Genomic DNA, 15,277 nt, shown 5'->3' with positions numbered 1-15,277 from the left:
ATATATATATATAGCCACGATTTAAAAAGAAACCTCCCATGGCTTTTCACCTCACTCAGAGTAAAATCCAGAACCATCAAGATCCTTCCTAAGCTGCTCCTATTGGCTTCTCAGTAATTCTGTTGGCTCTCTGACCTCCGTTCCTGACACCTTTCCCCTCACACCACCCCCTCCAGACCACTCCCCACTTTCTGTTCTTGGATCCTCTAGACAAGCTGCTCTGGTACCTTCCGCTGGCCACAAAACCCAGTCCGTAGCTGCTCTGGGAGTGCTCGACCATCTTGGGGGCCCCGGTGGTTCCGCTGGTAAAGTAGATGGCCAGCGGGTCTCGACTCTTTGTCCTCATGCAGTTGTGCTCTGTAGAAGCCTCCCTGTAAAACGTAAATACACTAGGTGGCACTACCACGGTAAAAACAGTTAGTAGCACCAATAATATGTGTAACAACAATATGACTACCGTTTCATAAATACCACATGTGAGGTGCTGTGCTGAAAGCTCTGGCTTGGGTAATCTGCAACCACCTCATGGGGTAGGTACTATCATTATAACCCTTTTGCAGACCAGGAAACTGAGGCTCAAAATAGATAAATAATTCACGCAAAAGAGTCCATGCTTTCTTACCAAGGTATGAGGACTTTCTGGTAGAACACACACATGTCCATGTCTATAATTCTGCACATTTAGGCACAGCTTCCACCCCCATCCCAATTTCTAATAATTTAGAACTCTTTTCTAAAGGTTTCCCCCAATATGGGGTTTTGAGATCTAGGTAATTCCCAAAGTTCTGTGATCTGGATGATCAGCTAATCCACGGGCTCTCATCCCTGGCTGCACTGTGAAGTCCCCTGGTAAATTTTTGGAAGAAACTTGTCTGTATCCACCCTGAACAAAATAAAATCAGAATCTTTAATGTTTTCTTAAATGCTTCTCAGTAATTCTAGTAACAGCCAAAATTGAGAACCACTGATCTAGGCCCACCTGACAGCTCTCAAAATCATATGAGCCGATTTTTTTTTGTTTTGTTTTTGAGATGGTGTTTCGCTTTTGTTGCCCAGGCTGGAGTGCAATGGCGGGATCTTGGCTCACTGCAACCTCTGCCTCCCGGGTTCAAGTGATTCTCCTGCCTCAGCCTCCCAAATAGCTGGGAATATAGGCGTGCGCCACCACGCCCAGCTAATTTTGTATTTTTAGTAGAGACGGGGTTTCTCCATGCTGGTCAGGCTGGTCTCAAACTCCCGACCTCGGGTGATCTGCCTGCCTCAGCCTCCAAAAGTGCTGGGATTACAGGCGTGAGCCATGGCGCCTGGCCCTATGGGCTGATTTTTTTAAAAAAGATCCCCAGGGCTCTTGCTCAGCTGTGTCTGGTTAAGTAGGTCAGATGTGAGGCCTTGTCATCTGTATTCAAAACAGCAGCCAGGTGAATCTGATGCAGCTGGTCTGTGGGGTGAGCATTCATAACTCAATGGTTCAGGCCCCTGAGAGGCTCCTTTTGGGTTCTGGCTTCCAATCAGGACAAAGTCTCAAATTCTGAGATGGGTTTCCACCAGGCCCTTGCTCCAAGGCACATCTGCTCTCGGCTCTGCCCACTCCTGACTTGACTACTTTTTAGCACCTTGGGCAAGTCACTTTAGTTTTCCAAGTCTCAGTTTCCTCATCTGTAAAACTGGGTTAAAGGGCCCATCACAATGTCCTGTTCAGGGATTAAATAAGGTGATGTTTGATCCATTATGGTGTTCTGAACACCAAACACAATGCTTGTCGTGAAATAGATGTTCATTAAATCTTCGCTGCATGAATGAATGAAGGTGAAGGCTTACATAGCACAGTATCTAGCGATACACTAAGTACCCAATACATGGCCACTAGTTTATTATTAACTGACCACCTGCTATGTGCTAAATGCACCATATTGGTTATTTCATGTACTCTGAATGGTAGCTCTAATAACTACCACCGCATTATAGAAGCAAATGAAGCACAGAAAAGCTGCTGACAAATCCAGCACTGACTGAATGAGGGACCTTGAACATTAAGGTAGGGACCAGGATTATGCTCAGGTCAGCCTGGCTGCCAATGGGAGTGCTCCTCTCTGATTCGCTCTCTATGTGTGGAATCAGCAATGCATTTCATCTTTTGTTGCTTAAAGGGGAAATGACTTCATTTTTCTGCTGTTCTGGAGAGCCCCAATTCACCGGAGGAGTTCCCTGAAGTTCAACCAGCCTGGCCGACTGCTGTCTGACACCAGCAGCTTGGTCTGGAGGGAGGGGCATTCGGCACTGATGGCATCCACCCTTGGAGCTAGGGAGTCACTGGTGATAATGGACTTGGCCCTGGACGCCTGCAGCCGGTACTTGAGGTCCTTCTCTGTCAGCTGAGTCACACCCGGAATCATCACAGTCCCTGGCATAAAACAGAAGGGGATGTTGAGTGGATAGCGGGGAAGGCCTTGGGTATAGAGGTAAGAGATGAAGGCAGGAAGGGGCTGGGGAGGGTTGGAATGCATGAGCTGGAAGACGTAACAATAATAATAATAACAGCCTAAAAACCCTAGCCGTCTGAATAAGTGCATGATCACTTATTCACTCAGCATCAGTGGAGGCTTGCTAGGCTCACTGTGGCCTCTTTCCTCCTCTGTTTCTCTGCTGAAGGAACCATTCTAAGAAGATAATGTTTCACTGCCCTGGACATTCATGACAACAGGAGGACCTGTCCCCCTAACCTCCTGCAAGGGATAATATCACTGGTTCTTTTATTTCATCTTTATCTTCCTTCCTTTGGGAGCTGGATGATGCTGTGATAATGAGAATCATAAAGTCTAAGAGTGAAACTAACATAGATTGGTTATAAGGGTCCCTCATCTATAACTGCATCGTTCGGGTAAAATTCTAGCAACTAAAGCAAGGCTCCCAAACCACAACCAGCAGAAAATATGCTTGATTTGTCCCAGTCAGGACTTTTTAAAATGATAGATGCCAACATTAAAAGACAGGGGGATTTTTCATAAAAATCCAGAGTTTTCAATTACAAATCAGAAGTTCTGATAACACTGGTATTCATTCTGTCGTGGGAACATTTGGTTCGAGTTGAGAAGCAGCGACCCCATTTGATAAAGCATGTGATCTCCAGTTTGCCGCAGTCCTCACAACTCCCTACTGCCTTGCACTGGCCTGCTTTTATCAATTACATCATTGTCTGGCCCCTACTATACAATCAAGTCTGTGATTGTTAGGCAAATAGGAAGTAAACACAACTCCACATACAGTTTATTTTTGCTCCATCTTCAAGACCCTGTGGACACTGCAAAGCTCTGGCAAGTTGTGTCTGCCCCCAACTAAAATTCCCAGCCCTGCTTACTGACCTGTCCGCATGCAAGCCACACTGACCAGCCACCACTCCGGGAGCCGTGGGAGTACCAGCATCATTCTGTCCCCAGGCTGCAGGCCGCATGCACCCCCCAGCACATTGGCTGCCTTCCTGGACTGCTTCCCCAGCTCCTCAAAGCTCCACTTGATCTCTGCTCCTGTGCCATTGACCCACCAGAAGGCAGGATTTGGGGGGCGGTGTCCAGCCTAGATGGTGGTACAGGCAGAAAAAAAAAGAAGCAATTTATTGAGAATTTTTGTTTGCTTGTTGCTGTTTAATGTTTTATAATAGTTAATATAAAATTCACAGGGTTCAAAAAGCAAAGCAATATGGAAAGACATGCATTGAAAAGGCTTGCTCCCCTCCTTATACCTACCTGCCCTGTTTTCCACTTCCTCTGCCTCATAAGTAACCAATTTTATTAGTTTTTTGCATATCCTTCCATAGTTTCTTTAGGCAAACACAAGCATATATTTTTTTCTACTATCTTTTTAATGCAAAAGGTAGCACATGATTAACACTGTTTTCTGTTTTTCCCTTTTTTATTGAAATATAATTCAGGTACCATAAAAATCACCATTTTAAAGTGCACAACTCACTGGTTCTTAGTATGTTCACAAGGTTGTGTAACCATCACCATTCTCTAATTCCAAAACATTTTTATTGCCCTAAAAAGAAACATTGTGCAAATTAGCTGTCCCTTCCCATTCCCTCCTCCTCCAGCTCCTGGTTATCACTTATCTGCTTTCTGTCTCTATGGATTTGCATCTTCTGGATATTTCATATGAATGGAATCATATGATATGTAGCTTTATGTTTGGTTTCTTTCACTTTGTACAATGCTTTCAAGATTTATCTATGTCATAGCATGAATTGGCATTACATTATTTTGATGGCTGAATAATATTCCACTGTATGGATAGACCACATTTTGTTTATCCATTCACCAGTTCATAGACATTAGGGTTGGTTCCACTTTTTGGCTATTATAAATAACACTGCTATGAGGATTTATGTACAAGTTTTTCTGTGAGCACATGTTTTCTATTGTCTTGGATATCTACTTAGGAGTACAATTCCTGGGTCAGTATTATAATAACTCTATGTTAACTTTCGGAGGAACTGCCAAACTGTTTTCCACAGCACTGCACCATTTTACATTTCCATCCAGCCATGTCTGAGGGTTCTAATTCTCTGCATCATCTCCAACGTTTGTTATTGTACCTTTTTTTTTTTTTTTTGCCATGCCACTGGTTATGAAGTGGTATCTCCTTGTGGCTAGGATTTGCATTTCCCTAATGAATAAAGATGTTAAGCATCTTTTCATGTGTCTATTGGCCATTTGTTTATATTCCTTGAAGAAATGTCTCTTCAGATTCTTAGCCCATACTTTAATTGGGTTATTTGTCTTTTTCACTGTCTAGTTTGAGTTCTTTATGCATGATAGATACTAGACCCTTAACCAATATGTGATTTTTCAGATATTTTCTCCTATTCTGTGAGCTTTTTACTTTGATATATAAATACTATTAATTTTCATGAAGTCCAATTAATCTATTTTTTATTTTGTTGCTTTTGCTTTAGAAACCATTGCCCAATCAGAGGTCACAAAAATATACTCCTATGTTTTCTTCTAAAAATTTTCTTGTACTTTATGTTTCTTCATTTAGGTCTTTGATACATTTTGAGTTAATTTTTGTATTTAGGGTCAGGTAGGAGACTCAATTAATTCTTTTGCATGTGAACACACAGTTGTGCCAGCATCATTAGTTGGAAAGACAATTATTTCACCCATTTAATTGTCTTGGTACCCTTGTTGAAAATCAATTGATGATAGATTTGTGGATTTATTTCTAGACTCTGAATTCATACCTATTTATCCAAGTCTATCCTTATGCTAGTGCCACACTGTCTTGGTTACTGTAACTTTGCAGTAGACTTGAAATAGAAAAGTGTGAGTCTTCTTTTTTTTTTTTTTTCAAGGCTGTTTTGGTCCCTGTGGGTCCCTTGCATTTCCATACGAGTTTTTGAATCAGGTTGTCTATTTCTGTAAACAAGTCTCCTAGGATTTTGATAAAGTTTGCATTAAATGTGCAGCTCAATTTGGGGTGTATTTTCATCTTAACAATATTAATTCTTTTAATCCATGAGCATGGGGTGTATTTCTATTTGTTTACATCTTTTCCAGTTTATTTCAGTAATGTTTTGTCATTTTCCATGTACAACCCTTATACTTCTTTGGTTAAATTTATTTATATGTATTTCGTTCTTTTTGACGCTATTAGTAAATGAAATCATTTCTTAACTTCATTTTTTATTGCTCCTTACTCGAGTATTGAGTATTAAGTTATCTGCTCTTAAAATACAATGATGAAGTAGGGATACCATAATAGTCAGAGACATATCCATTCAAACAATGAATTAAAATAAAAGGAAAACAATGAGTCACCAATCCCAAGCAACTCTGAATCCAACTGAGAAAACTCTATTAGGTTTCAAAGCCCTTAATCATCTGTGATTGTGGCTTTGCTTTCTAGTTGCTCAGCTCCACCCTCTGGGCTCCCAATTCCACATTCTTGACTAACAACTCTGCCCTAAATCATCTCTTCTTTTACAAGAAGGGTAACACATGTTTGTAGCTAAGTAGATTTAACCACCTGTTTCCTGCCTGTAGAATTTGGGGAGTCCAACAGCCTTCTTCTATATTTTCCTCTCTCTGTCCAGTACAAGATGGCAGTATTTCTGCTGATAAAACATTCTCAAGAAACTAGTGGTTCTCTCATGTATGTCTCAGTGATTCACCCCATTAGGGAAGTGGCTCCTCCACAGATCTTTTCCAGATAATCCCATCTCTATTGCTGGTTTCTGCCTCCATGGCTGAAGGAACTGAGGAACTTTGTCTAATCTCTTCAAAAAGCTCTCTGTGACTTTTTGATACTCGAATTGCTAGCAAAAGATTGTCCAACCACACTCTTGGATTTCCCTTTGCAGCATACTTTTCTGACAGTGAATATCCTAACTTTAATGTCTTTTATAATATAGGAAGGCTGAGAATTGTTCAAACCACCAGGTTCTGGCTCTATTTTTGCTTAACAATTCTTTCCTCTGTCTATTTCTTTCCTTCAGCATTGTAATATAACCAGCAAGAAGAAATCAGTCCACATCTTCAACACTTGGCTGGGAAATCTCCTTAGCTAAATATCCAAGCTTATCCCTTATAAGTTATTCTATCCATCTAGCTCTAGGACACCATTCAGCCAAAATTTCTGCCACTATATAATAAGGATCCACTTTCCTTCAGTTTCTGATATTACATTTTTCATTTCCTTCTGAGTTTTTATCATCTGTGCCTTTAATGTTCATATTTCTACTAACAGTCTTCATGATTCTTTAAAACAATACAGTCTCATCTGTCATACTCCTCCTTTCTTTTTGAGGTGTCGCTAGCAAAATCATTAATATCTGCATTTCTACTAACAGTCTGCTCAAGGCAATCTAGGCTTTTTTCCGTGCTCCTCAAAATTCTTCCAGCCTCTACCCATCACCTAATTCCAAACCTACTTTCACATCCTTTGGTATTTATTACAGCTCTCATTACTACTCTTGGTGCCAAAATCTGTATTGGTTTTGAATAATCCCATCTATTGCTGCTGTAATAAATTATCACAAACTTAATTGCATAAAACAACACAAATATACAGCCTTATAGTTCTGGAGATAAACAGTTCAAAATCAGTCTTAGTGGACTAACATCAAGGTGTCAGAAGAATTGTTTTCCTACTGGATGCTTTAGTGGAGAACCTGTGTCCTTGCATTTTCTAGTTTTCAGAGGCAATTCACATTCCTTGGATCGTGGCCCCACATCACTCCCACCTCTGTTTTCATTGTCACATCTCCTTCTCTGACTCTGACCCTCCTGCCTTCTCATAGGGTACCTTATGATTATATTAGGCTCATCCAGATAATCCAGAATAATCTCTTCATATGAATATCTTTAGTATAATCATGTTTGCAAAGTCTCTTGCCATGTAAGATAACATACTCACAGGTTTCAGGGATTAAGGTATAAAAATCTTGGGGAAGGGGTGCATTATTTTGATAACCATTGCCATGCTCTTTCTAGTTTCTTTGCGTATCTTGTAAATTTTTGTTGAAAACTATAAATTTAAAATTACATCATGTGATTACTCAGGAAATCAGATCCACCCCCACCCATTCCCCACAACTCCCCAGAGTTTGGTTTGCTGTTGCTGCTTGTTGTCATTTGTTTAGTGATTTTTGTGAACCATTTCTGTGAAGTCTGCATTATTTGTTCTGTGTGGCCACTGAGATATCTACTTGGTTAGCTTAGTAGTCATCTTATGATTAGACAGAAATATCTTTAAATGCCTGAAACCAATAAATCTCCCAGTCTTTGGGTGGGTGTTGGGGCACACCTTTAGCACTCAGCCAGGCAATTAACAATCCTGCCTTAGTGTTAATTTCCTGCATGCTCCAACTCTCAGTCTGCCAGAAGTGCGAGCTTAGAGTTTCCTCAGATCTTTTCTAAGCGTGTGCAAAGCCCTAGGAAAGCACACAGCCTTACTTAGGTGTGTTGATTTCTAGATTTCCAGGAATACAATAGAATTTTTTAAAGCTCCCATAGACATTGGATTCTCCAGCTTTTCTTTTTTCACTCTTTGGTGAATCTATTGTTTGTCCCACTGTTATCCATCACCTTAGGCAACAATGAAGCTAAAACATTTGTCTGTGATTGTTTTGGACAAAAACCCCCAGGGAAAAGGCTTTTCTCATTGGTTGAGCTTCAAGTTGATTCAAATACAGTTTTACAAGTAGGGTCTTCCAAAGAACCAATGGGCAGCTCAAATAACAACAGTTCTTCATAAGTGAAGCTTTGAAAAAACTCCAACTCCATTCTGGCCCATCTAATGGTTGCCGTGATGCACCAGAAATGGGGGCTGTTATTTTTCAAGGCTACCACATAGCTGGAAAGTCCTTATTCTACCATTTTTTTTCCTGACTTAATCCTGCTTGCTTGTTTTTATCATTAGGAGAAGTCTTCTAAGGATACCCCTAGTATTGCAAAAAGAACTTAGATTTTTGCAGGCCATCAGGAATGGAGCATCCTGGCTTCATGTCTTACATGCAATTCTCATTTAATTCTCACTATTACTCTAAGTAGCATATGGTCTGACTACCATTTTACAGATGAGAAAGTTGAGATCTAAAGAACTTAGGGCACTTGTCCAAGGTCACACTTCAAGTACACGGATGAACAATGTCTATCTGACTGCAAATCCTGCTTTTAAGTCTCAGTCATCCTCATACCACCTTCATAAGTTTCACTACATCTGCTGACAGTTAATTTTATTGTATCTACTAACAATGCCATTTACTTCATATTTTTTCTTTAAACAATCTCTTCTTATAATTAACATGAATACAATTCTTTGAATTAAATTTTATATTTCCAGTTTTGTATTCTCCAGCTTTTCTTTTTTCACTTTTTGGTGAATCTATTGTTTGTGCCTACTGTTATCCACCACCTTAGGCAACAATGAAGTTAAACATTTGTCCGTAATTGTTTTGGACAAAAACCCCTAGGGAAAAGGCTTTTCTCATTGGTTAAGCTTCACATTGGTTGAAATACAGTTTTAGAAGTATGTCTTCCTCTTATAAATGAAAAGTTAGTATCATGTAACACAAATAAAAGGTAACCATGAAATAGAGAGACCCAACAGACACAGATATAAGGGAAAATAAAGAAGAAAGCAGATGCACAGAGACACACAAAGAAATCAGGGTTATCTTATTCAATTCTATGTATCTGTTATGATCTGCAAAAAGCTTTGAGCCTGAGCCCTATTCTTTCCTTATTTTATTTTGTTTTGTTGTATTTTATTTTATTTTTTGAGGTGGAGTCTCACTCTGTTGTCTAGGCTGGAGTGCAGTGGCATGATCTTGGCTCACTGCAACCTCTGCCTCCCGAGTTCAAGCAATTCTCATGCTTCAGCCTCCAAAGTAGCTGGGACTACAGGTGTGCGCCACCATGCCTGGGTAATTTTTTTTTATTTTATTTTTAGTAGAGACGGAGTTTCACCATGTTGGTGAGGGTGGTCTCGAACTCCTGACCTCAGGTGATCTGCCCTTCTCGGTGTCCCAAAGTGCTGGGATTATGGTCATGAGCCACCGCGCCCGGCCTTCTTTCCTTATTTAGAAGAGAAGGGCGTGACAGTGAGAGAAAAACATCAAAGACAGAGTAGCAGCAAAACAAAACTTCCTCCTTCAGTTGATGAACAACTGGAAGGGAATCGGAAGGGACATAACTGTCTCACTGTGTGATTTGGGCTCAAGAATGCAGGACACTTCAGAGAAGGAACAAGCATGTCTAAGGCTCACAACACTGACTCAGAATTTTTTCCTAAGTCTCAAATGCCAACAGTTTACATTTTAGAACTAGCAAAATTCCCAGGTCCAAATTTCCTCATCAACATGCTTGGAGCCTTGAGTCTCATTGTGGTACATGAGGGCAGCCTCAGATGCCCCAGATGGACTCTAGGACAGAACAGGCTTCACCTCTTCCAGCCGACTCCACACATCCAGCACATCATGGGCGAAGTTGAAGTACTCAGGCACCAGCTGCCTTCCCAGGCTGATGGCTTCCCAGGTGGCCACGATCTTCTGAGGAACAGGTAGAGGTGCTGGCTTCCCATGAGACCCACAGAATGCCCTGGAGTTCCTCAGTGCCTGGAGGACTAGGTGTCTCAGCCATGGTCTCATGCAGTCGCCTCCTGTCTGTCACCAAAGAGAGGAAAGAGGGCATTGTCATAAATTCTGGGCTTTGGGGACAACACATAGGTTAGGAGAAACCTGTGGTTAGTGCTGATGGTGACTGTGATCCTTACTGACTTGTAGAATAAACTCTCCACCTTCAGTCTCAGTTCTGCTGTGTGATGGTCATTTCTCTCCTCTGACCCCGAGGTCTGTCCTTTTGACCTCTCACTGACTTGTGGGTATCTGGGTCTGAGGTCAGAACTCAGATCCCACTTCTCAAACCTCAATACTTCAAAAGGAATCCCTCAAAAAGGCTTTGGCCAATCCTGAACTGACCTTGCAAAGCTGAAGACAGCTCTAGGGCAGCACTGTCCAACAGAAATAGAACGTGAGCCACCTGTGCAATTTACAATGTTCTAGTACTTCCATTAAGAAAAGTAGAAGCAGGTGAGATTTATTATAATAAAACATTTTATTTAACCAGATAGAGCCAAAGTATGACCATTTCAATTCCTAGTCAATAGAAGAATAAATTGTTAAAGAGATATTTTACATACTTTTATTTATTTTTTGTTTTTTTTGGTACTAAGTCCTCACAATCTGAAATAGACTTTACCCTTACAAACACATGTCAATTTGGACTAGCCACACTTCAAGTGCTCAAAAGCCACAAGTGGCTGCTGTATGGCATGATGGGCTTTTAGTGTCTTTTTAATTTTTTTATTTAATTTTATTATTTTTAAAATTTTTATTATTGTTGTTTTTGAGACAGAGTCTCACTCTGCTGCCCAGGCTAGAGTACGGTGGTGCCATCATAGCTCACTGCAGCCTCAAACTCAAGCAGTCCTTCCACCCCAGGCTTCCTAGTAGCTGGGACTACAGGCACTAGCCACCATGTGTGGCTAACTTTTAAAAAGTTTTTTTGTAGAAACAGGATCTCACTATGTTGCCCAGGCAGGGCTTGAACCCCTGGCCTCAAGTGATCCTCCCAACTCGGCCTCCCAAGTGCTGGGATTACAGATGTGAGCCACTGTGCCCAGCCCAGTTTTAGTGTCTTGCTACTCAAAGTGTGATCTTGGGACCAGCAGATGGGACCCCACCCTACATATGTAGAATTAGAATCTGCAAGTTAACGGGATCTTCAGATGAGTCATATGCATGTTAAAGTTTGAGAGGCACTGGCCCGGGAGCTGCGTGTGACCTCAGTTTCAGTTTCCTTGCATTAAATTCCTCTTAGTAATAATAATAACAAAATATGGTAATAACAACCAACAATAATAACGTGGCACAACAAGAAAAACCATAACAGCTTCAGTCTATTGAAGGCCTACTGTGTACCAAGCATTTTAAGAGTGCTTAGAGGCATTATTTCATGAAATCTTTATAACAACTCTATGCTGTAAATGTTATTTTCTCCATTTAAAGATAAAGAAAATGAGGCTTAAAGGGGAAAAGTGACTTTCAGGTTTCACTTCCTGGAAAAACATAGGCCCCAGCCTCTGCAGTGGCCACCAGGCCTAGGCCTGCAGCCTCAGAGACTTCCTTTCTCTGACCCACCTCTCCCGCCCCTCACCTCTCCCGCCCCTCACCTCTCCCGCCCCTCACCTCTCCCGCCCCTCACCTCTCCTGAACTGAGCTCTGCCCCAGTCCTTTTCCTCAGTCTCCCACCCCTGGATTCCTCAGCCACCTAAACAGCTGATAATTTAGAATCCCCAGGCCTCCTTCCCATTCCCCGACACCATTTCAGATGTCACTTCTTGATTTAATCAGCAAAGGCCTCAGAGGCAGCTGATACCTTCGTCTGAAAAATTTCTTTCCAAATTACCTTGCTCTTGAACCAAAGTAATGCAAAAGGTCTCTGTTTTCTGCTTCAGCTGAGCAGAGCAGGGCTGAGTGGCTGTAAACACTCAGCTCCCTCAGAAAACAGCCTCCCACAGGGAACTTCAGCCCCAAATGCAGCCAAGAGTGGGCAGAGCCAGAACCCAGCAGCTGACACAGTGGCTTCCAGTGGTCAGGGTGCATTGAGCCAGTGAGAGTGGCCCCCTGCCAAGTTTTCTCAGTACTCACAGTGGCTGGAAGATCAGACCTCAACTGTCGTGCCTGGTGGGTGTGCCCAAACTGGTGGATGTATTCCCTAAAAATTCAAGTCGCCATCTAATCGGAAAAAGCAACAGGAAGATTATGACGGGTTTTTTTTTTTGTTTGTTTGTTTGTTTTGAGACGGAGTCTCCCTCTGTGGCCCAGGCTGGAGTGCAGTGGCGCGATCTTGGCTCACCCCAAGCTCTACCTCCCGGGTTTGCGCCATTCTCCTGCCTCAGGCTCCCGAGTAGCTGGGACTACAGGCGCCCACCACCATGCCCGGCTAATTTTTTGTATTTTTTAGTAGAGACGGGGTTTCACCGTGTTAGCCAGGACGGTCTCGATCTCCTGACCTCGTGATCCGCCCGCCTCGGCCTCCCAAAGTGCTGGGATTATGATGTTTTAACAGAAAAGGTGCAATAGTGATAATAATATAAGTCAGACTTTGTTTCTTTTCTGCTTAGAACCCTCCAGTAGATACAGAGAGAACAGAGGAGTGGTTCCAGGGAACGGCTCTAAGGCATCCCTTTGAAGTCATAGAATTGTTCTAAATTTGGATTGTGGTCATGACTGCAGATCTCTGTAAATTTACTACAAAAAATAGTAATAATAATTGTACACTGCCAAAAGAAGTTTTTTGGGTTTTTTTGTTTGTTTTTGGAGACAGGCTCTTGCTCTGTCGCCCAGGCTGGAGTGCAGTGGCGCAATCTTGGCTCACTGCAACCTCCACCTCCCGGGTTCAAGCGATCCTCCCACCTCAACCTCCCGAGTAGCGGGGAATATAGGCATGCACCACCATGCCTGGCTAATTTTTGTATTTTTTTGGTAGAGATGGGGTTTCAACATGTTGGCCAGGTTGGTCTCAAATTCCTGACCTTAAGTGATCTGCCTGCTTTGGCCTCCCAAAGTGCTGGGATTATAGGTGGGAGCCACTGCACCTGGCCCAAAGGTGGTTTTTCGAAAAAGCTTCCTGCAACTCCCTATCTCACTCACAGTCCAAGCCAAAGTCCTGACGATTGCCGGGTGGGATGGCTCACGCCTGTAATCCCAACACTTTGGGAGGCCAAGGCGGGCGGATCACGAGGTCTGAAGATTGAGACCATCCTGACTAACACGGCGAAACCCTGTCTCTACTAAAAATACAAAAATTAGTCAGGCGTGGTGGCGCCTGTAGTCCCAGCTACTCTGGTGGGCGCCTGTAGTCCCAGCTACTCTGGAGGCTGAGGCAGGAGAATGGCATGAACCTGGGAGGCACAGGTTGCAGTGAGCCGAGATCGTGCCACTGCACTCCAGCCTGGGAGACAGAGTGAGACTCCGTCTCAAAAAAAAAAAAAAAGTCCTGGCAATTGCCTACAGGGCCCCACAGGAATTCCTGTGAGCCTTTCGCCTCAAACCTCCTGTCTCAGTCTGCTCCAGCCATACCGGTCTTTTTGTTGTTTGTTCTCTGAAGTTCTTTTTAAATTATTTTTAATTTTTGTGGGTACATAGTAGGTATATACATTTATGGGTTACATGAGATATTTTGATACAGGCATGCAATGCGTTAGAATCACATCAGGGTAAATGGGGTGTCCATCACCTCAAACATTTATCCTTTGTGTTACAAACAATCCATTTATACTATTGTAGTTATTTTAGGTGTATGGTTACATTATTTTTGAAGATAGTCATCCTATTGTGCTAGGAAATACTAGGCCTTATTCATTCACTCTTACTACTTTTTTGTACCCATTAACCATCCCCACTTCTCCTCCAACTCCCTGCAACACTTTCCAGCCTCTGGTAACCGTCCTTCTACTGTCTCCATGAGTTCATTTGTTTTCCTGTTTAGCTCCCACAGGTAAGCGAGAATGTGCAATGTTTGCTTTCTATGCCTGGCTTACTTCCCTTAATGTAATGACTTCCAGTTCCATCCATGTTGTTGCAAATGACAGGGTTATGGGTGTCCTATAGAGAGGATGCTGAGCCATTAACTGCCTATCTTTGCAGTGATTCAAACTTCACCCTGGATTTTTATCCATCACTGTATGTTGTTCCCCTGTGACTCTGTCTCATTTCCTGGCCTGGCCAGTTTGGCCCATTTCCACGCAGGCAGCTCCTCTCCCTTGCCGCCAAGCTTGGCCACAGGGAACCATCTTATGAGCCCTCAATGTCCATTTGCTCAGCATTCAGTCCTCTACTGCGACCCAGGATACAACCTCATCTCTGAATCTGCAGCCAGATGTAAAGATACAATCTCTACCCTCAGAGGGGTGGACGGACTGTTGAACATTATTTCTCCAGCAGTCTAATCTCAATATCGTTACTCTCAATCAGTACTTTTTAGAAGAATATATAATCATAAGTCATGACAAATGTTTCATAAATGTTCAATGAAAGAACTGGATACACTTTATAGACAATATAATCACAATTTTATTTTTAAAAAGTATATATTAATCCCATACGTAACAAAATATGAATGTTTCTCTAAGTAAGATGATGTATGATTTCAATTAACTCATTTTTTCTGTATGTTCTATGTTTTAGAAATTAAATCCTGTTCTTTTCTAATCAGAAAGAAATTAATGTTATTTTATAAAAAGAAGCTTTAAGCCGGGCACAGTGGCTCACGCCTGTAATCCCAGCACTTTGGGAGGCCGAGGTAGGTGGATCACCTGAGGTCAGGCGTTTGAGACCAGTTTGGCCAAAATGGTGAAACCTCGTCTCTACTAAAAATACAAAAATTAGCCGGCCGTGGTGGTGCATGCCTGTAATCCCAGTTACTCAGGAGGCTGAGGCAGGAGAATTACTTGAACTCAGGAGGCGGAGGTTGCAGTGAGCCAAGATTGCACCACTGCACCCCAGCCTGGGCAAGAGAGCAAGACTCTGTCAAAAAAAAAAAAAGCAGCAGCAGCTTTATCAGTAAATGAGTATCATCATAAAAGTGCCTATGTTATGTCAAGAAACAACTGTGTGCAAGAGTGAAGGAAAATGAATGAAGGACATTTGGGATAATAACCCAAGTGTTTTAGTTTGTGACTAACAGTTGACAAGTGTGAAAGATGTCAAAATAATATA

General features: G+C 42.1%; 1 protein-coding gene across 4 annotated transcripts in view; it reads right to left on the bottom strand.

Annotated features, from left to right (window-relative positions):
* ACSM5 (acyl-CoA synthetase medium chain family member 5) overlaps nt 1-12,095 on the bottom strand; it is a 31,803-nt gene extending 19,708 nt beyond the window's left edge. For 2 of the 4 annotated variants that reach the window (NM_017888.3, NM_001324372.2), the window contains exons 1-5: nt 11,964-12,095; nt 9,941-10,159; nt 3,360-3,570; nt 2,194-2,401; nt 228-371 (exon numbers count right to left, since the gene is read on the bottom strand). In NM_017888.3, coding sequence (NP_060358.2) covers nt 228-371; nt 2,194-2,401; nt 3,360-3,570; nt 9,941-10,144 — 767 coding nt within the window. In that variant the 5' untranslated portion in view covers nt 10,145-10,159; nt 11,964-12,095. Of the gene's footprint in view, nt 1-227; nt 372-1,846; nt 2,402-3,359; nt 3,571-9,940; nt 10,160-11,963 lie in introns of those variants that run through there. The other 2 variants (NM_001324371.2, NM_001324373.2) reach the window with 2 other exon arrangements.
* Nucleotides 12,096-15,277: the final 3,182 nt, after the last annotated feature.

This window comes from Homo sapiens, chromosome 16, assembly GCF_000001405.40.
Source record: "Homo sapiens chromosome 16, GRCh38.p14 Primary Assembly".
Lineage (NCBI taxonomy): Eukaryota > Metazoa > Chordata > Mammalia > Primates > Hominidae > Homo > Homo sapiens.
This window is presented reverse-complemented; position numbering and strand designations above follow the sequence as displayed.